The sequence below is a fragment of the Homo sapiens genome, chromosome 8, assembly GCF_000001405.40.
Source record: "Homo sapiens chromosome 8, GRCh38.p14 Primary Assembly".
Lineage (NCBI taxonomy): Eukaryota > Metazoa > Chordata > Mammalia > Primates > Hominidae > Homo > Homo sapiens.
The window spans coordinates 87,262,065-87,285,477 of record NC_000008.11 but is presented as its reverse complement, the minus strand read 5'-3'; the positions used below and the strand labels follow the sequence as shown (position 1 = coordinate 87,285,477).

Genomic DNA, 23,413 nt, shown 5'->3' with positions numbered 1-23,413 from the left:
GCATGAGCCACCGCCCCTAGCCTCAATCTCATTATTTATACAAACTTCTTCTGATATCCAAAGGAGGAAAAATAGGAGTCAAGAAAAAATTTGGATTTGATTAGAAGAGAATAAATTATTAAACTTTAAGTAAATGAAGTTATCTTAAAAACGCAGAATTAGGGAATCAGAATAAGTTGTTATCACTTATTCATGCAGCTCTGAGTTTGATATCTGTTGTAATTATGAAATATCATGGCAATCACATTCAAGTATTTTTCCTTTTAAAGTAGACTACAGAGACTGGGAAAGCAGCAGTACTATTATCTGTCTTATTATTCTAGTATTCTTAGCATATGACATGCTGCGGACATGCAAAACACATATTTGTTGAATGAATGAGTGAGTGAATGAATGAATAAATTAATGAGTTTAAAATTAATGAAAAGCCAAAGGGTATTTAAAAATTACCTGAAATATATTCATTGAGACCTTTGTTTACACCTCACCTACCTATCACCAGCACTCTTAAGTGATTTTTGTCAAATAACATTTTTATGGTCTCTAGGTTAAATTAAAATTTAAAAATAAAACAGATATAGCTGTCTTTGTCTAGAGAATCAAAATGTAGCTTGAGTTTATGCCCAATTTTTGTTTATATAAAATATTAGATATCATCTTACCTCCTTTATCTTTGCATATCCCTTTGCTGGGATTTTAAGAATTTCACAATCGTCTTCTGTCACCACCGAGAACATCTGTGTTTCCGATTCATTCTGAGGCATAACTTCCAGAGTCCCAAAGGTACTCCATTTGCTAAGCTGTAAAAATACCAGAGACAATTTAATGTTTATTACCACTCATCAACATGAAAATGCCAGTGAAGGATTGGATTGTAGGTCAAGCTTTCATTCTATGAAAGAGGGGGTTCTAAACTGTCTCTGCATGGATGGCTCCTACTACTTCTGCTCGATGTCACTTCCCAAGGCAAGAGAAATGGCCATTCTTTTTCACCGACATGAAGAAAATAACATAAAAAATCTTCTGTTTTATTCAGTGATTTAAAGTGCCTATTAGAGTGCTTGGAATATAGCAGCCATTCAATAAATAGTAGTTGAAAGAATGAAGAAATTTTGTACACTTATATATATGATCTTCTGTTTGTTTTATTATCACATGTTGGTAGTATTCAGTAATAACAAAAATGAATAAAATGTTAAACAGTATATAAACCATTAATATTTATGGATGATTGCTTAATTTAATATGTAAACAATAAATATTAGGCATGGAAAAATGTTACTACTAGAATACATGTCATGAGTTATTAGGTTATAATGATATTATATATAGTTGCACAGAGAACCTACATTTATATTTACTCAGGAAAAAGTGGAGGGCATGTGAAGGATAAGGAGCGTATTTTTATGAGAGGCTGAGGAGCTTCTTAGGGAAAACATCAGGTCGATATGCCTATCTAAGATGATATGGGAAAACTTCCATTTTTCTACTTCAAATCCATAGACTATTTTTCTTTTTAGCTAAATGCATAACTGAGCTCGAATCTGCAAGTCCAAATATATAGAGGAAATTTAAAATGTCAAACAGTCACAGCTGAGGCCAAAGTGAGCCACAGTCCTATCAAACCCAAATAAGGTCCTGAAGAACTGAGTTCTGAGGCTTGTTGTACATGTAGGAACAGGAGATGGGACTCAGAGCCATGCAAGGTGAGAGCCTGGAATTGTGCCTCCTTGCCTAAAGTCTAGGAACTTGGAGGATTGCCCCAGTTGTGAAGTGGGGACAGGAAGAACTACATCCAGTACTTTACGAAAGCCACATAGAAGCTGGCTATCTAGCCATGAAACTGGACAGAATTGTTAGAAAATCAAGAACCTAGGTCTGCAACTTGAATGAGTACAGAGCATACACTTATGCATAGTAGAAGACCCAAAGCTGAAAAATCAATAAAAAGCCTGGTACACAACTAGTAAAACTCCTAGGATCCAGGAAGGTATTATACAAACTTAACCTTATGTATAAATTCAGAGAGAAAGGAACTCCCACAGAAAGCAATCCTTGCTGATGACAAAATCTTAATAAAAAAAATTACAAGCCACACAAATGAATAAAACCCTATAAAGGGAAGTCCATGAAGAAGGAGAAAAAAATTGAACAACCTAAAAGAAACTACAAATATTTAAAATGTGTAGACTATAAAAATCAGAACATGACATGATGGAAGCAAAAAGAAGTATTTTGGAAAAGAACAAAATAAAACTTCTGTAAATAATGGTCACAATAATTTGTAGATTAAAGATAATTTTAAAAAGAATTCATTACATGGATAATATACAAGAAAATACTCTGGAATAAAATGTAGAAGAAATGGAAATAAGAAGGGGGTTGTAATAGCTACAGAAGATAGATGGAGACCATTTAGCATATATCTAACAGAAATTCTAGAAGAAACTGAAAAGAATGGGAAAACGGTGATACATAAGTGATAATGGCTGCAAGTTTTCCAGGGCTGAGGGAAGTGAGTTGTCCAAACCAAGCAACACACAAAACTGAAAGATGCATTTGCTTTTATATTCCTGCTCAGGATTTGGTATATTCTCCTAATCTTTCTCCTCTGCTAGATCTCCTATTTACGATCTCATTAGCTAGCAATAATTTCAAGCAGATATTGTCCATTTAATTTTTTCAATTTATCTATTGTTTTAGGGAGTTAGTTGGAATTACCTAATAAGCCATTATGAAAGCAAAAATCATCCATGACTTTGAATAATATTAAGGCTTTCTTTCTCAATTAATTAAAAAATATCATCAGACTCCCTAATATTAATAATTAGGAAATTATAAAACTTCCAATACGCCTTACACACCAATTATTTTAGTTGAATTATTTTTAAAAGTATTAATATTTATAATTTTCCATTTTGTTCTGTAAATATGGTTATCTTAAAAGTGCTCAGGAAAAATAACATTCAACCCAGAATTCTTTATTTACTTGAAATAGCAATTTAGAGTAAGAGTAAAGAAACAAGATAATAATTTTAGACATTATAAGAAACAAATGACTAAAAGATGAATTTCAGCTAGAACAATACTGAATCCAAAATGGAGGGCAAATAATTAGCTAAAAACATTGGTAAATGTAAATAGCATTATTGATATATAATAATTTTAGAATGACTAATATGGTACTCTTTTAAAATAAGAGAGATTTAAATTGCTTTCAAACACTCAGAACAGACAAGCAGAAAGTTAGAATTAAAATATTTGAGAATCTTTATATTCTTGGGCTAGGAAAGAAAAATATTGTATAGGTTTCCTTCAAATTACAAATTTAATTATATACAAGTTGAAAAAAAGTACAATGACAAAAAAATAAAGTGATGAAGTGAGGGATATTTCCTACAAAAATGGCAAATGTAAAGAATAATACCTCAAATATCTAATAAACATCTATAATTTGACTCAAAGAAAATAACCAAAACAGTTATTGAAAAATACCAAAAATATTTTTAGAAGAAAAATTATTTCCAGAAGAGATGAACCAAATGACTCACACACAAAAGAAACCTGCTCAATCTCAGTAGGAGACAGAAAATTGTAATTAATGTCATAATACCACATGGTTTTTATCCACCAGATTGAAAATATTAAAGTCCTCTAACCTATAGGATTAGGGAGATAACTTTCATTTATAACTCTGGAAACTGTAAAAACCTTTAAAAATGAGAAATTATCTGGCAATATCTATTAAAATAAACTAAAAAATGTATGCAGTGTCTTACCCAGAAACGCATCTCCTAAGAATCTACCTTGTAGAAATAAATACATTTTAAGGAATTCAACCAAGTCTAAGTTTTAATATACTGGTAAAAATTAGTTATATATATATATATATATATATATATATATATATATATATATATATATATATATATATATCTTAGCCTAGAAGAATTCTGATGAAAAAAACAAATAGTAGATAGTATATTAAAAATCGTTTTTTAAAAAATGAACAGTTAGAAAAACAGTAATCCATATGTGTATGTAGTTGTTTAAATGCCAGCGTCAATTCAGAGGAAGATGTGCAAGCATACATGTCAGGCTGATATGGTTCATATGTTCAGGGGATAGTGATGGAGCTAAACTGGCAGAATATTTATTAAAATTTCCTCCAACCTCCTTGTATTTGTTTCAATGGCCATAGAAAGTATGTATTACATTTGTAAATTTTAGACACTTATTAAAGAAATTTAAAATGTGACTTTGAAACAGAATGCTGAGTTATCTTCCATACATGTGTTGTTTTGATACCTTTAAAAATATACATAAAATATCTAAATGATATACAGCAGATGATTACAGTTGTTATATCCGAAAACTGCAGGTAATAATCATGGTCTACTTTATATTCTGTATTTTCTGAATTTTTAATAAATATAGCAGTTCTTAAATGAGACAACACTATAAAGCTATTTACTTTATAGCTCAGTCTCTCAATTTTTTTGAAAATATCATCTATTAAGGCTACATAGATAATCCTCTTCTGGTGGGGATAGTTGGTAGAGTTGCACAGATGGAACAGTTTCTCATACTTGTAAATTCTCATGTTATTTTACTGAAAAATAAATTGATAACTAAGTTTATTGAGAAATGATGTATTCTCATGCTTTTTTTCAACTTCTATAATAATACATAACCCGAACAATCTCCCTCTGAATAAGAATTGGTAAATCTATAAATCTTTCTTTTGAATAAAGTCATAATGTTGAGATTTGTTCTAAACTGCATTTTATAAAAATACAATTTCCTGAAAAACAGAAGTATTTCATAGGTATAATTTTTGTCCTTATTTTTTCCATTGCTTTTAGCCTCCAGGCATTTACACATTAAATAAGATCCATAAGTAAAATTAGAGCTACTATTTTTAAATAGTAGCTTGCTCTAAACTTTGCACAACATGTTTTTTCTTTTCTAAGGGGCTGATGAAATGGACCAACAAAAACACAAAGATCAGGCACTCATAATCTCGTCAATAGATGAACTTCTTGAACTTCTAATATATTATTCCATAGTTTGTGATTATTTGTACATCTATTTTTCTTGAATGAGTTTCTATTAGCTTTAATTATATTCTCAAAGTTGTCTAAGTCTCCAAAGAAGAGTAATAAGCACTGCTCCAGATTGAAAAAAATTATTTTTCTCCAAAGATTTAGACTCCAATGGCCTTTATAAAAAGTGCATTCTCAAAACCAAACCATGATAAGAAAAGATTAGAAAGACATTGCATTTTATAATATTTCACATGCTTCGGGAGAATGTGGGACTATACACTGATATCTGGAAGGTAAAGTTGGAACTAACTGAATGTGAGAATCTGATGGGGACCTAACGCATTCCATTGTCTGAGGGATGGGTCTGTATGCTTAAATAGAAATTTTCTGGATAAATTTATTCCAAACCTATATGCTGAATCAAAGAGGATCACCTTTTCAATTATAGAAAAAAAATATCTTTCAGGATAATATGAATATGCACTTTCTAAGTAAAACCTACAAATCAAATCAGTTTGTAAATGTAGCCAATAAATTTCTCTTTAAAAGTTGGCTAAGCATGGCTTCCTATTATGTCCCTCATACATATATAAATATATTATTTTTCAATCCTTGCCTTTCTGAGAAGTGGAAAAGGTAATATAAAGCATTTCCTTTTTATCTGTGGTTTCACTACACATATTTAGTTATATTTATACATATATATAAAAATATATAATCTCGATATAAAACATAAGCATATTTACTTGTATATTTTGAGGTAATAATTTTTACTGCATATACATTTCATACTCATTATGAAATATCTTTATTTTTAATGATGCTCTTGCAATAAAATCTACTTTGCCTACTATAGTACAGCTACTTTGGCCTTCTGGTTAGTATAATCTGGTTTATCTGTTATTTTACTTTGCAACTTTCTGTATCCTTCTAATAAGGTGGGTAATCATACAGGGTATTGCTTTAGGCAATATGACAATCTTTTTTAATGAAAGTATTTAGTCTGTTTACGTTTAATGTATATTTGCTTTTAAATCTGCCATCTTAATATTTGCTATTTTTCTATTTCTTTGTGTCATTTCCTACTTATTGCTAAATTTTGAGCTAATCAAATATTTTTCTATATTTTGTTCTCTTTTAACTTATATATTCTTTCATTATCATTTTGTTGATTAGTCTAGTTATTACCAATGCATCCTTGTCTTACTAAAGTGTACCCTAAATTACAGTGTCCCTCATTATGCATGGAAGATACATTCCAGACTGTTTTTGCATGCAGAAATTGCAGATAATACTGAATCCTATATGTGTTTTTTTCTTTACATATGTATCTATGATAAAGTTTACTTTATAAATTAGGCACAATAAAAGATTAACAAAAATAACTATTAATTAAATAGAAAAATTATAAATTTAGAAAAAAATTTAAACATAATAATGGAATTTTCAGACCAAAGTTGACCTCAGGTTACTGAAACTGGAAAGTGAAACCACAGATAAGAAGGAAGTGCTATATTACCTTTTCCACTTCTCAGAAAGGCAAGGATTGAAAAATTTTTTTACACTATTCTATTGCTGTTTTTGCTTCTTCTGATGTATTTTATTTCTATATACATGTAGGAACTTCACAAGGAATAATATTGATTTATACAGTCAGCTAATACTTAGATTTATCCACATATTCACCAAGAAGTTTCTTTGTTCTTCAGTTCTTTCTACTTTTCTGTACTTGAATTCTGGATAACTTTGTTTCTGCCAAAGTTTGTCTCCTTGTCATCCCTTTTACTGTAACTTTGCTTGCAATGAGATCTTTCTTTACTCTTTGTCTGAATACAACGTTATTTTGCCTTCATTCAAAAAGATGGTTTTACTGGTTATAAAAGTCTAGGTCAGAAGTTACTTTTTTTCCTGAATGCTTTAAAAATATATGTTATTGTTCTCTGGCATTCATTATTTGTTACGAGTTCATTAAAATTTACCTTGGAGTGTGTTTCTTTTTTGTCTACTTTGACTTTTAACTACCTTTGATTTACATTAGTTTAATTTTAATGTGTCTAGTTGTGGTTGTTTCACTTGTAATTCATACAGCAACTTAAATCTGTTATTAGATGTCTTTCCACAGTCAGAAAAAAATTTCAATCAGTACTGCTTCAGGCAGGACTAAATATTGTTTCTACTATATTTCTTATTTATCCTTGTGTTGGGCTTTTAATTGCATACTTATCAGAATTTTTCATTTCTCATATCTAAGTTATGTTCTTTTCTATCATTCATCTTTTTTCTTCTTCATATTTACTTATGACATGTTCTACTAATCAACTTTCCAGTTTAGTAACTCTCTTCTTCAGTGTCTAATCTGCTAATAACTACATCTATTGAGTTATTAATTTCATTTTACATTTTTAAGTTATGAAGCTTCCATTTTCTTATTTATTGTTCACAATTCTAGTTTCTTTCATTGTCAGATATGATCTTGGAAATATTATTATTATTGTGAACTAATAACTCCAATATCTAAATTACCTGTGTGTTTGTTTCTACTGATTTTTTATTGTTTATAAAAAATGTTGTCTTGTGTTTTGACATTCCTGATAACTTTTTAGTCAATGCTGGATGTTGTGTATGAAAACCATTGATTGTTCTAGCTATGTCATCTTTCTCTGAGGTACTTTATTTTTCTCACAGTCAATTAGTATAGGAGCAGACTAAATGGCCCCAACCAATAATTGAGGTATTTTGAGACTGGTTTTCAGTCTTTAGGACAGTGTTTTGGTTCTGGGTTTCAACTGATAGACTGACATATTTTTCAGGACCTCTTATACTTGACAGACCCAGGACTCCTAATTTCTGTCTATAAAATACATGAGACTGGCGAAAGTTCTACTTCTTAAATTTGTAGCTACATATTACTCAAATTCTGTGATGGTTCATTTTATGTGTCAATTTGACTGGATCACGGAGTGTCCAAATATTTGGTCAAACATTTTTCTGTGTGTTTCTCTGGAGATGTCTTTGGATGAGTTCTGATTTAAATTGGTAAAGATTAACATTTAGATACATAGACTGAGTAAATCAGATTGCCCTCCATACTGTGGGTGGGTCTTATCCAAAAAGTTAAAGGCCTGTATAGCATAAAAGGCTGACCTTCCCCTGAATAAGACAGAATTATCCTCCTTGACAGCTTGAGAACAGGTACATTAGCTCTTTCTGGCTCTATAGCAGTTTTCAGCCATCATACTGAAACTTGGACATCACCTCTGCAGATTTTGGACTTGCCAGCCTCCATAATTACCTGAGCTAATTCCTTATAATAAATCTATACATATACATATATGAATATGTGTATATATATATATATAAATGACCCATCATGATTCAGCACTTTCATAAATGTAAGAAGGAACTATTGAATAGTTAATTCAACCAGATGTGTATTTCAAAAAAAAAAAATAATTATTCAAGCTCCATTTTCTCTGGTTCCCTTTTCTCAGTATCTTGGCCCCTCAAGGCCTGACTGCCTGGTAGACTAAACTCAGATTCATGGTGCTCTGGCATTCTAAGGTTCCTGTAAGTTCTATTCACTATTTTCTGCTCATTTATTTATCCTTATGATGCTTGCAAGCTGTTGGATGTCTCTAAGGAAAAGCAGCAGGACATGTCTGGCTCGAAATAATGTATTTCCCTTCTTTCTTGAATTATAGCCACTCTAATCTTGGTTCCCTTGATTGCTCTTCAAAACCTTCAAACTGTTATTAATTTGGTGTTATTCAGCTTTTATAGTTGTTCTCAGCAAGGGGACTGGTCTGAGGCAAGCTACTTCACCATGGTATAAAGCAGACTGACATTCAATAGATTGAAGCAACTGAGCTTCTTTTAAACAAGACCTACTTCCGTTTCTCCATTTCTGTTGTTTGGACTGTTTTTTCTTGCTTGCCCTTATCAACGCATTATGAAGTGAGTAACAAAATTATTCAGAACAAGCAACCAGACCATGGCATCCAAGCCTTTTCTCATAAAGGTGGAGATTCTGGTAAAGTAAACCAAAAATTTCTACATAAATTATTGCTTGTAATAGGAAAAAATGTCCTCAAGAGCCTGAATCTCATTTTGATATTTTTTCCCTTAAATAAAATAAAAACTGAAAGAAGGATCAAGATGACAGCATCTTAATAAAAGGAAGGCATTGGTAACATCCAAGGAAAAATAATTTCTACATATAGATAGGAAGACATTAATTGTAGGTGATAAGCAAGCCAACTAATATCAATGTATTAGTAACAAAGACTCTCCAATGCCTATACTATATATACGTATTAGATAGTAATGAGAGTAATGAATTTACCATTGATTCCTACTGTGAGGGTTATATTTGTCATATGTGTGTATCATTTTTAAAATTTATTTGTCCTTCAGGTCCCTTGTAAGGTGGATTCCTAGGTTTTTTATTCTCTTTGAAGCAATTGTGAATGGGAGTTCACTCATGATTTGGCTCTCTGTCTGTTATTGGTGTATAAGAATACTTGTGATTTTTGTACATTGATTTTGTATCCTGAGACTTTGCTGAAGTTGCTTATCAGCTTAAGGAGATTTTGGGCTGAGACAATGGGGTTTTCTAGATATACAATCATGTCATCTGCAAACAGGGACAATTTGACTTCCTCTTTTCCTAATTGAATACCCTTTATTTCCTTCTCCTGCCTAATTGCCCTGGCCAGAATTTCCAACACTATGTTGAATAGGAGTGGTGAGAGAGGGCATCCCTGTCTTGTGCCAGTTTTCAAAGGGAATGCTTCCAGTTTTTGCCCATTCAGTATGATATTGGCTGTGGGTTTGTCACAGATAGCTCTTATTATTTTGAGATACGTCCCATCAATACCTAATTTATTGAGAGTTTTTAGCATGAAGTGTTGTTGAATTTTGTCAAAGGCCTTTTCTGCATCTATTGGACCTCCTCAAGGAGAACTACAAACCACTGCTCAATGAAATAAAAGCGGATACAAACAAATGGAAGAACATTCCATGCTCATGGGTAGGAAGAATCAATATCGTGAAAATGGCCATACTGCCCAAGGTAATTTATAGATTCAATGCTATCCCCATCAAGCCACCAATGACTTTCTTCACAGAATTGGAAAAAAACTACTTTAAAGTTCATATGGAACCAAAAAAGAGCCCGCATCACCAAGTGAATCCTAAGCCAAAAGAACAAAGCTGGAGGCATCACACTACCAGACTTCAAACTATACTACAAGGCTACGGTAACCAAAACAGCATGGTACTGGTACCAAAACAGACATACAGATCAATGGAACAGAACACAGCCCTCAGAAATAACGCCGCATATCTACAGCTATCTGATCTTTGACAAACCTGAGAAAAACAAGCAATGGGGAAAGGATTCCCTATTTAATAAATGGTGCTGGGAAAACTGGCTAGCCATATGTAGAAAGCTGAAACTGGATCCCTTCCTTACACCTTATACAAAAATCAATTCAAGATGGATTAAAGACTTAAACGTTACACCTAAAACCATAAAAACCCTAGAAGAAAACCTAGGCTAAAATTACCATTCAGGACATAGGCATGGGCAAGGACTTCATGTCTAAAATATCAAAAGCAATGGCAACAAAAGCCAAAATTGACAAATGGGATCTAATTAAACTAAAGAGCTTCTGCACAGCAAAAGAAACTACCATCAGAGTGAACAGGCAACCTACAGAATGGGAGAAAATTTTCACAACCTACTCATCTGACAAAGGGCTAATATCCAGAAACTACAATGAACTCAAACAAATTTACAAGAAAAAAACAAACAACCCCATCAAAAAGTGGGCGAAGGACATGAACAGACACTTCTCAAAAGAAGACATTTATGTAGCCAAAAAACAAGAAAAAATGCTCACCATCACTGGCCATCAGAGAAATGCAAATCAAAACCACAATGAGATATCATCTCACACCAGTTAGAATGGCGATCATTAAAAAGTCAGGAAACAACAGGTGCTGGAGAGGATGTGGAGAAATAGGCACACTTTTACACTGTTGGTGGGACTGTAAACTAGTTCAACCACTGTGGAAGTCAGTGTGGCGATTCCTCAGGGATCTAGAACTAGAAATACCATTTGACCCAGCCATCCCATTACTGGGTATATACCCAAAGGACTATAAATCATGCTGCTATAAAGACACATGCACACGTATGTTTATTGCGGCACCATTCACGATAGCAAAGACTTGGAACCAACCCAAATGTCCAACAATGATAGACTGGATTAAGAAAATGTGGCACATATACACTATGGAATACTATGCAGCCATAAAAAATGATGAGCTCATGTCTTTTGTAGGGACATGGATGAAATTGGAAATCATCATTCTCAGTAAACTATCGCAAGAACAAAAAACCAAACACCGCATATTCTCACTCATAGGTGGGAATTGAACAATGAGAACACATGGACACAGGAAGGGGAACATCACTCTGGGGACTGTTGTGGGGTGGGGGGAGGGGTGAGGGATAGCATTGGGAGATATACCTAATGCTAGATGACGAGTTAGTGGGTGCAGCACACCAGCATGGCACATGAATACATATGTAACTAACCTGCACATTGTGCACATGTACCCTAAAACTTAAAGTATAATAATTTAAAAAAAAACTTATTTGTCAATTAAATTATTTCAAAAATCTTTTAAAGAGCTATACACTTACTACTTTATAAAAAGATAAGAGTGCAAGAAAAGGAGTGGATCAGCAAAGAATAACGATATTCATGATAAAGTAACTGGAGAACTTAGAGAAAACAAGTTACTGGGATAAGTGTCACATTACTCACAACATAAAGTCTCCTGAACAGCTCAGGCTGCATCCTATTAGTCCAAGAGCACAGTTTGGCTGATAACCATGAATTGAATCTCAAGTGGATCTCAAGTACTCCTATTTGCATTGGTTTGTTGTTATTTTGAATTTGTTTCAGAGAAACAAAACCTTCAGCATTGACTGGAACAACAGTCTCCCTTTTCTGTTCAGGTAGATTTGGGCTTCTTACTTAATCGTAAAGAGGCAGAACGTTTCTTCTTCCTATGTGCCCAGTTAGTTATTAACTAAATTCCAACAGTCACCCATCATGATTCAGCATTTTCATGAATTTCAGTAGGAATTATTGAATATTTAATTCAACCAGATATATATTTTAAAAATTAAACCAATTAATAAAATAATTTGAGCTATATTTCATAATTTTCTAAACATTATTGGTTCTCTGTATTGCCGTTACTGTACTACTGTTATATAATCACTACTACAGTACTACTATTATTTGAAATTTTAAAATTTTCCTATTATTAGGGGAAATTGATCTGTCTGATATATAAGGGTAACATCATTCAGTCACTGGAAATAATTATTTCAGCATATCATTTGGTAGAATTGCCCCTCCATACTTGGATGTTACACTGTAAAAAATATAACTATAAGCATATTAACAATTTTTGGAAGAGCGAGCATGAAGAACTAAAAATATTTCTGTGTTATAATGTGAAATTTAGTGTTAATTAAAGAAGTTGTTAGTGACTAATTTAAATAATCATAAATTTTTTAAAGTTAGCACATAAGGTTTATTAAAAACTTAATGGAGTGTACATTTAAATGCATACTTTATATGTATTCATACACAACTGCTCACCACATGTTCACTAGCTATTGAAGTTATAAAACCCTTTGGCTTAATGGATTACCATCATTCATTTGTTATATGCTTTATCCATGTATAAATTGACTGCTCTGATATGATCTGAATTTTGTATAAAAGATGATACATTTTGGGAGCTTAATATCACAGACTTTTTCTTGTCATAAACTAGAAACATTGCTCCTGTCTTATTCAAAGGAAAACATTTCTCCCACATAACACTAAATTCAATTGCTCACATTTTCATTTACTCTGAATTTAATATAGTCTTATAAAGAAGATTCAGTTGAATAAGCTGAGATATAAATTGAAATAACTGTGTCAGCCTAAATTCAATGTGAAAATAATTTAAAATTTTTCAATGTGGCATTTATTTATTGATACATATTAGATGCACATATTTTTTAGATACATGTGATGATTTCATACATTTATATAATCAAATCAGAGTAACTGGGATGTCCATCACTTTAAATATTTATTTTTTATCTAGGATCATTCTAATTATTCCCCGCTAACTATTTTGAAATGTGCAATCTATTAATGTTAACTATAATCATCCTACTGATCAAACACCAGGTCTTATTTATTCTAAGTGTGTATTTGTACCCATTAATCAACCTCTCTTCACCACACATCACCCCCACCCTTCTTGGCCTCTGATAACCACCAGCCTACATTTTATCTTTATGAGATTCACTCTTTCAGCTCCCACATGTGATACCTGTCTTTCTGTGCTTGGATTACTTTACGTTACACAATCACCTCCATTTCCAACCACATTGTTGCAGTTGACATGATTTTATTTTTTTATGGCTGATTAACATTCCATTGTGTATATATACCACATTTTCTTTATTCATTCATCCATTGATGGACACTTAGGTTGCTTCTGTATCTGGGCTACTGTGAATAGTGCTGCAATAAGCATAGGAGTGTGGATATCCCTTTGATATACTAATTTATTTTCTTTTAGGTAAATACCCAACAGTAGAATTGCGGGAGCATATGTTAGTTTTATTTCTAGTTATCTGAGGAACCTCTATACTGTTTTCCATAGTGGCTATACTAATTTACATTCTCATCAACAGTGTACAAGGGTTTTTCTTTCTCCACATCCTCAACAGCGTCTGTTATTCTCTGAATTTTTTTTATAAAAGCCATTCTAACAAGAGGAACCTCGAAAATTACACAAACCCACAGAAGTTAAACAACATTCTCCTGAATGACCAATAGGTCAATGAATAACTTAAGAAGAAAATTTAAAAATTCCTTGAAACAAATGAAAATTGACATGCAACATATTAACATCTGTGGGATACAGAAAAAGCAGTATTAAGAGATAAGTTCATAGAAGTAAATACCTGTTTCAAAAAGTTGAAAAACTTCAAATAAAGAACATAATGATGCACATGGAGGAACTAGAAAAGCAAGCAAGAAAGGAAATAACAAAGATCAGAGTAGAAATAAATGAAATTGAGACTGAAAAAAAATATATACAAGATCAACAAAGTGAAATGGTGGTTTTTTGAAAAGATAAACAAAGTAGAGAAACCTTCAGCTGGATTAATTTAAAAACAAGAGAGAAGACCAAAATTAAATAAGAAATGAAAAAGGAGACATAACAACTGAGATCACAGAGATACAGAGAATCATTAGAGAGAATTACAAACAACTATACAACGACAAATTCAGAAACCTAGAAAAAAATGGATAAATTCCTGGACACATATAACCTACCAAGATAGAACCATGAAGAAATAGAAAATCTCAACAAACAAATAATGAGTAACAAAATCAAAGCCATAATAAAAAGTCCTCCATCAAACAAAAGCCCAGGACATTACAGCTTCACTGCTGTATTCTAACAAAAATTTAAGGAACTAACTAATATAAACTCTTATGAAATCCTTCCAAAAAGAATGAAGAATAAGAAGAAGAAAAAGAAAAGGGAATACTTACAAACTCATTCTATAAGGTCAGCATTACCCACACAGCAAAACAAGACTAGGACACAGCCAAAAAAATAAATAAATAAATTTTTTTAAAAATAAAGAAACTACAGGCCAATATTCCTGATGAACATTAATGCAAATAGGATGATTTATATTTATTTGGTTATATACCCAGTAATGGGATTGCTGGGTTGAATGGTAGTTCAGTTTTTAGCTCTTTGAGGAATCACCACACTGCTTTCCACAATGGTTGAACTAATTTACACTCCCAACCAAAAATGTATAAGTGTTCCATTTTTCTCACAATCTTGCCAGAATCTGTTATTTGTTGACTTTTAATAATAGCTATTCTGACTGGCGTGAGATGGTATCTCATTGTGGTTTTGATCTGCATTTCTCTAATGATTAGTAATGTTGAGTTTTTTTTCATATGCTTGTTGGCCACATATATGTCTTCTTTTGAAAAGTGTCTGTTTATGTCCTTTGCCTACTTTTTAATGAGGTTGTTTGTTTTTCCTTGTAAATTTGTTTAAATTCCTCATAAATGCTTCTTGAAGGTTTTTCACATGAAGAAATGTTGAATTTTATCAAAAGCTTTCTCTGCATCTATTGAGATGATCATGTGGTTTTTATTATTAATTCTATTTATGTGGCAAATCACATTTATTGATTTGTGTATGTTGAGATAGTCTTGTACCCCAGGAATAAAAGCCTAGTTGATTGTGGTGAATTAACTTTTATATGTGCTGCTGGATTCAATTTGCTAGTATTTTTGTTGAGGATCTTTGTATCTATTTCATCAGAAATATTGGCCTGAAGTTTTCTTTATTCATTATAGCTCTGCCAGGATTTGGCATCAAAATGATGCTGGCTTCATACAATCAGGAAGTTCCTCCTCCTTGATTTTGTGGAATAATTTCACTAGGAATGGTACTAGCTCTACTTTATATGTCTGGTAGAATTCAATTATGAATCCATCTGGTCCAGGACTATTTTTGGTTAGTAGGTTTTTTATTGCTGATTCAATTTTGGAACTGGTTATTGGTCTGTTCAGGATTTCAGTTTCTTCCAGTTCAGTCTGGGGAAAGCAATTCCATTTACAATAGCCACAAAGGAGTAAAACACATAGGAATGCAGCTTATGAAGGGGGTAAAAGATCTTCACAATGAGAATTACAAAATACTGCTGAAAGAAATCATAGATGACACAAACAAATGGAAAAATATTCCATGCTCGTGGATAGCAAGAATAAATATTGTTAAAATGGCCATACGGCCCAAAGCAATTATAGTCAATGCTATTCCTATGAAACTACCAACATCATTTTTTCACAGAATTAGAAAAAACAATTACAAAATTCATATGGAACCAAAAAATAGCTTGAATTGCCAAACAAATTTTAAGCAAAAAGAACGAAGCTGGAGGCATCACATTATCTAACTTCAAAATATACTATAAGGCTATAGTAACCAAAACAGCATAGTACTAGTACAAAAGAAGATACATAGACCAATGGAACAGGATAGAAAATGCAGAAATAAAGCCATATACCTACAGCCACCATCCTTAACAGAGTTGACAATAACAAACTATAGGGAAAGGACTGCCTATTCAGTAAATGGTGCTGGGATAACTGACTAGTCATATGAAGAAAATGGAAACTGGACCCATTTCTTTTACAATATACAAAAATTAACTCAAGGTGGATTAAAGACTTAAATGTAAAACCTAAAACAATACAAACCCTAGAGGACAACCTAGAAAATATCATTCTGGATATCAGCCATGGCAAATAATTTATAACTAAGTCCCCAAAGGTAATTGCAACAAAAACAAAACTTGACAAGTAGGACCTAATTAAGCTAAAGAGCTTCTACACAACAAAAGAAACTATAAACGGAGTAAACTGACAACATACAGAATGTGAGAAAATATTCATAAGCTATGCATATGACAAAGATCTAATATCCAGAACCTATATGCAACTTAAATAATTCAACATGCAAAAACCCCATTAAAAATGGGCAAAGGACATGAACAGACACTTCTCAAAAGAAGACATACATGTGACCAGTGAATATATTTTAAAATGCTCATTACTAATTATTAGAGAAATGCAAATAAAAATCACAATGAAATACCATCTCACACCAGTCAAAATGGCTATTATTAAAAAGTCATAAAACAACAGATGTTGGTGAGGTTACATTCCCACAATGCTGGTGGGAATGTAAATTAGCCACTGTGGTGAGCAGTGTAGGGATTCCTCAATGAACTTAAAACAGAACCACTATTCAACCCAACCATCCCACTACTGGGTATATACCCAAAGGAAAATAAATTATTCTACCAAAAAGACACATGTACTCATATGTTAATCACAGTACTATTCATAATAGCAAAGACATGGAATCAACCAAGATGCCCATCATGGTGGACTGGATAAAGAAAATGTGGTACATATACACCATGAACTAACACAAAACCATACAAAAGAACAAAATCATGTCCTTTGCAGCAACATGAATGGATCTGTAGGCCATTATCTAAGTAAATTAATGAAGAAACAGAAAACCAAATACTTTATGTTCTTCCTCATAAGTGGGAGCTAAACATTGAATACACATGGACACAAATATGGGACTGATAGACCCTGGGGACTGCTTGAGTGGGTAGGAGGAGGGTGTGGGTTGGAAGGCTACCTGTTGTGTACTGTGCTCACTACCTGGGTGATGGGACCATTCATACACCAAGACTCAGCAACACGCAATTTGCCTGTGTTAAACCTACATGTGTATCGCCAGACCCTAAAACATATAAGCAAACAGAATACTACTAAACAAAAATACTAGCAGACTAAATTAAACAATTTTTGTGTATAGTTAAAATAAACACTTTGAATTTTATTTTTGCTCCATATTCATTAAAGAGATTAAGTTTCTTAACTATATGCTCTACTTTTATAATCATATATCCATTGAAAAATAATGATAAAATGAATTACTTTGGGCCCACTATCTGGATAAAGAAACCAAATTTCTCCCATTTAGATAAAGGTAGCATATGCAACCATGTTAATGTTTAATGTAGTCCATTCATTTTCCATTGTTGTATGCTATACTCAAATTACTTATTCATTCTTTTGTTGATGAACATTTATATTTTTATCAGCATTTAGCTATGAAGCAATTGTGATAGAAGCATTCTTGTACATGTTACCTCATTTGATATATAATAGTATCTCTAAAATATATGACTATGGATACGATTTCTTTGTTATAAGCCATGTTAGCACTAGAGCATCTAATACCAACCCGTTTTCCAAAACACAAATTCTTATATTCATATCAGCAGTAGGAACACCTCCAATGTTTATTTCTTCACAATTTCTCCATCATTATATATTGTCTAATTTTTTTTCATTTGCCAATTTGGTGTAAGAAATAATATTCACTGTACATTTTTGTTATTTACTGAGATTTATTTTTAAATGTACAAATTATTTATGGTACATTTCCTTGATTGCTAAAGTGGTTGAACATACTTGTACTTGCCAATTTATTTCATAGTTTCTGTTCTGTAATAGACCAATTTATATATTTTGTAATTTTCATTATATTGTCCTTTTTGATTTGTTGATCACTATACATTCCAGGTATTAATCCTTTGCCATTTGTGTATGATGCAGATATCTTCACTCAGTGTGTGCCTTGTCTTTTCATTTACTTAGAATATCTCTGGATGAACAAATGGCTGCTGATTTTAAACAGGTATCAATATAGTTTCCTTCTGTAAGTCTGTTACTTAAGGTGTTTTCTGTTATGATACCATGAAGAAAAGAGCACCTAAAATATTCGAAGTCTTTCCTTTCATCATTAGGCATGTGATGCCTAAATTAAGTTTTATGAATGGTGTAAAGTAGGCATGCAGTTTTATCTTTTCTGTCTGTATAACCAACTGCCCTTACCCAAATGAATGAACCCACATTACTCACTGCTCTTCATGTCACTGTTCTACATCGAGTTCTTTTGTGGCTGGGTGCAGTAGCTCAAGCCTGTAATCCCAGCACTTTGGGAGACCGAGGTAGGCAGATCACCTGAGGTCGGAAGTTCAAGACTAGCCTGACCAACATGGAGAGAAACCCCTTCTCTACTAAAAATACAAAATTAGCCGGGGTGGTGGCACACGCCTGTAATCCCAGCTACTTGGGAGGCTGAAGCAGGAGAATCCATTGAACCTGGGAGGCGGAGGTTGCAGTGAGCCGACATAGTGCCATTGCACTGCAGCCTGGGCAGCAAGAGCAAAACTCTGTCTCAAAAAAAAAAAAAAAAAAAAAAAAAAAAAAGATTTTTTTTTTTTTTTACTTGGACCTCATTTTTGGAATTGCTTACATATCAGTGTGCTTACCTATCAGTCGCTAGTGCCCAGTATTAATTATTATAGCTTTATTTTGTGTTTTTATACCTAATAGGAAAAGCTCCTCTTTCCCAAGTATCTTCTTTAGGGATATCTAGTGTATTCTTAGCCTTTTGCTCTTTGGTATAGTTTTTAAAATTACCTTTTCAAGTTCCACAAGGAACCTGTTTGGATTTTTTTTTCCAATGGAATTGCATGAAATGTATAAATCATTAGGGGACACTTATCTTTAAGATATTGAATGTTTCTGTTCATGAATGTAATTTAGCTATATTGAACCCTTCTGTGATATCTTTCAAAGAAAATGTATAATGTTCTTCCAAAAGTACTGGCTTACAGTGTACTATATTTTTCTTAAGTGCTCAATCTTTTGTATAGCTACTTAAATAGAATCTTTTAATTAATGATATTATCCAACTGATTATTACCTAAGTTTCTGGGAATTTTTTGTTTTATTGCCAAATCAACAATGTGTTTACAAGAATGTTTTCTAATATTTTACTCATTTCTTCAGTAGTTTCCATTTAGAGAGGTGATTAGCAAACTTCTTCTGTAATAGACAATATAGTACATATTTTCAGTTTTGCAGACCATATAGTTTCTGTCACAATTATTCTACTCTGCTGTTTTAGCAGAAAGCAGTCATAAATGATATATAGTGAATGGATGTGGCTGTGTTCCATAAAAACTTTATTAAGAAAAAGAGACTGCAGCCTAGATTTAGCTCAAAGATTGAAACTGCCATCCTCAAATCTAGAGTTTCATTCATTTGATCAAGTCCCCAGATAATTCCTATTATTTACTTTAATTTTTTAAAAACTATAAAATTATTATCCCATTATCTTATGTGAAAAATACTTTTTAACATTTAAGCAAAAAACAGCCCATATTGCCAAGTCAATCCTAAGCCAAAAGAACAAAGCTGGAGGCATCACGCTATCTGACTTCAAACTACACTACAAGGCTACAGTAACCAAAACAGCATGGTACTGGTACCAAAACAGAGATATAGACCAGTGGGACAGAACAGAGCCCTCAGAAATAACGCCACATATCTACAACTATCTGATCTTTGACAAACCTGAGAAAAACAAGCAATGGGGAAAGGATTCCCTATTTAATAAATGGTGCTGGGAAAACTGGCTAGCCATATGTAGAAAGCTGAAACTGGATCCCTTCCTTACACCTTATACAAAAATTAATTCAAGACGGATTAAAGACTCACATGTTAGACCTAAAACCATAAAAACCCTAGAAGAAAACCTAGGCAATACCATTCAGGACATAGGCATGGGCAAGGACTTCATGACTAAGATACCAAAAGCAATGGCAACAAAAGCCAAAATTGACAAAGGGGATCTAATTAAGCTAAAGAGCTTCTGCACAGCAAAAGAAACTACCATCAGAGTGAACAGGCAACCTACAAAATGGGAGAAAATTTTTGCAATCTACTCATCTGACAAAGGGCTAATATCCGAAATCTACAAAGAACTTAAACAAATTTACAAGAAAAAAACAAACAACCCCATCAACAAGTGGGCGAAGGATATGAACAGACACTTCTCAAAAGAAGACATTTATGCAGCTGACAGACACAGGAAAAAAATGCTCATCATCACTAGTCATCAGAGGAATGAAAATCAAAACCACAATGAGATATCATCTCACACCAGTTAGAATGGCGATCACTAAAAAGTCAGGAAACAACAGGTGCTGGAGAGGATGTGGAGAAATAGGAACGCTTTTACACTGTTGGTGGGACTGTAAACTAGTTCAACCATTGTGGAAGACAGTGTGGTGATTCCTCAGGCATCTAGAACTAGAAATACTATTTGACCCAGCCATCCCATTACTGGGTATATACCCAAAGGATTATAAATCATGCTACTATAAAGACACACGCACATGTATGTTTATTGTGGCACTATTCACAATAGCAAAGACTTGGAACAAACCCAAATGTCCAACAATGATAGACTGGATTAAGAAAATGTGGCACATATACACCATGGAATACTATGCAGCCATAAAAAATGATGAGTTCATGTCCTTTGTAGGGACATGGATGAAGCTGGAAACCATCGTTCTCAGCAAACTATCGCAAGGACAAAAAAACCAAACACCACATGTTCTCACTCATAGGTGGGAATTGAACAAAGAGAACACATGGACACAGGAAGGGGAACATCACACTCCGGGGCCTGTTGTGGGGTGGGGGGAGAGGGGAGGGATAGCATTAAGAGATATACCTAATGTTAAATGACGAGTTAATGGGTGCAGCACACCAACATGGCACATGTATACATATGTAACAAACCTGCACGTTGTGCACATGTACCCTAAAACTTAAAGTATAATAAAAAAATAAAATAAAATACTTTTTAATACTCAACATAAAGTAACAGTGATATTTTATGTAATATATGGTATAAAAGAGTATAATAAGATTTGATATTTGTGAACTGTAAAGTACCTTAAAAATTATAGTATTAGATTTTTAAAAATTGATTAATTTCCTCTTAGTATATCTTCTCTGTTGCCTGCTAATGTTTTACATTTAATTTTCTTTGGCCTTGGAAATTCCATTTCCAGGCTTGTTATATTTATATGTTGAGTATAAGTAAAATATGTTATCCATTAAGCTCTTTTAGGAGTAAAGTACCAAAGGTTAGGAATTTTGTTTGCCTTGGTAAAATTTCATGGTCCTGCTCTAAATAATTTTTGGTTTATTTTCTACTAATAATAGAAGAATAACAGAACTGTGTTCGTTGGATGTCATACTATTCTATGTGAATATAATGTAAACGCTTTGAAAAAAACAATTACTTACCTAATTTTACTGAAAACAATTTTGTTTGTGACTGTGTGTATTTATTTACATGTTGGCTGAGTAACATCTTAGTCACCTCTTTAAGGAACCAAAGCCAGCCAGCATGTCCTGATTTTGAATAATGTATTCAACTAGCTATACATGTTGCCCAATTCAAATTATGCATACCAAGTTCTAAAGGTGGGCAAAAACAATTCATTTAAAAATTATCTGAAAAAAAGCTTAAAAATAGAAAAAAGTTTCAACTGCTAGTATTATTATATACAAATATGCATGGTTTTCACACAAATGACAAGCTTATAAGGAGAAATAAATTGTAGTCATCATAGTTGACAAGGACACTAAAGTAAATATAAACATTATTTTTAATTGGAAGAATGATCATCAAGGTTGAAACCACTATATATAATACCATCACAATTTTGATCATTCTTTCCAGGTGACATCTTACAAGGAACACATATAAAAGGAGCTCCACTAACCCTAGGAAGTCTCTCCTCAGCTCTCTAATCTGGGTCTGCTGCTCCAACTTCTTGCGCCCACAATGAACTTTGCTTACTTTAGTCACTCTATTCATAGCATTAAACTGAAGCTATCAGATGCATTTCTACCCATTCCCACTCCATCATCATTATCTCCAATACAGAAACTATTTTGTATTAATTGCCAAATGAACACATAGTAGATGTTAAAACTGTCTATAAAAGTGAATTGATCATAAGGAAGATACCAGAATACAATCACTTAACAGAACAGATAAGGATCTTTTAAAGTGTTTATATTTTTTGGATGCCTAAGCGGTAAATTTTCATAATAATTTATCTCAAGTAGCAGAACCAAGCTAAAAGTTTATAATTCCTGCCTTAGACTAGGAATTCTTCAAAGCAGGCATATTAGTCAAGGTTCTCCAGAAAAACAGAACCAGGAGCACTGATGTCTGAAGGGCAGGAGATATATGTCTTAGCTCAAACAGAGAGAGCAAATTTACCTTTTCTCTGCCTTTTTGTTTTATTCAGATTATCAGTAGATTGGATGTTGGCTGCCCACATTGGTGAAGGTGATCTTCTTTACTCAGTCTATTTATTTAAATGCTAATCTCTTCTGAAATAACCCTTACAGACACACCTAGAAAAAACAATTCACCAGCTAACTCTGCATCTCTTAGTTCAGTCAAGTTGACACATAAAATTAAACATCACATCAGAAAAGAAAAAGAAACCTGTAATTAGAAAGTAATTCTATCAAAGGAGGAAAGCTTATCCTGAAACTTAATCTTATGTTTTTAACATTCTGCTTCTAGTTTTTATATTTCGACATCTAATAAAAACATAATGTTCAACAATTATTTATATTGTGTTTTTTGTTTTGTTTTGTTTGTGTGTTTTAGACAGGGTCTCAGTCTGTCACCCAGGCTGGAATGCAGTGGCATGATCCAGGCTCACTGCAGCCCCAACTTCCTGGGTTCAAGTGATC

At 32.8% G+C, this 23,413-nt stretch overlaps 1 protein-coding gene across 3 annotated transcripts in view; it reads right to left on the bottom strand.

Annotated features, from left to right (window-relative positions):
* CNBD1 (cyclic nucleotide binding domain containing 1) overlaps nt 1-23,413 on the bottom strand; it is a 562,238-nt gene that overhangs the window by 143,175 nt on the left and 395,650 nt on the right. For all 3 annotated transcript variants that reach the window (NM_173538.3, XM_047421411.1, XM_017013149.2), the window contains one exon: nt 663-800. In NM_173538.3, coding sequence (NP_775809.1) covers nt 663-800 — 138 coding nt within the window. The remainder of the gene's footprint in view (nt 1-662; nt 801-23,413) is intronic.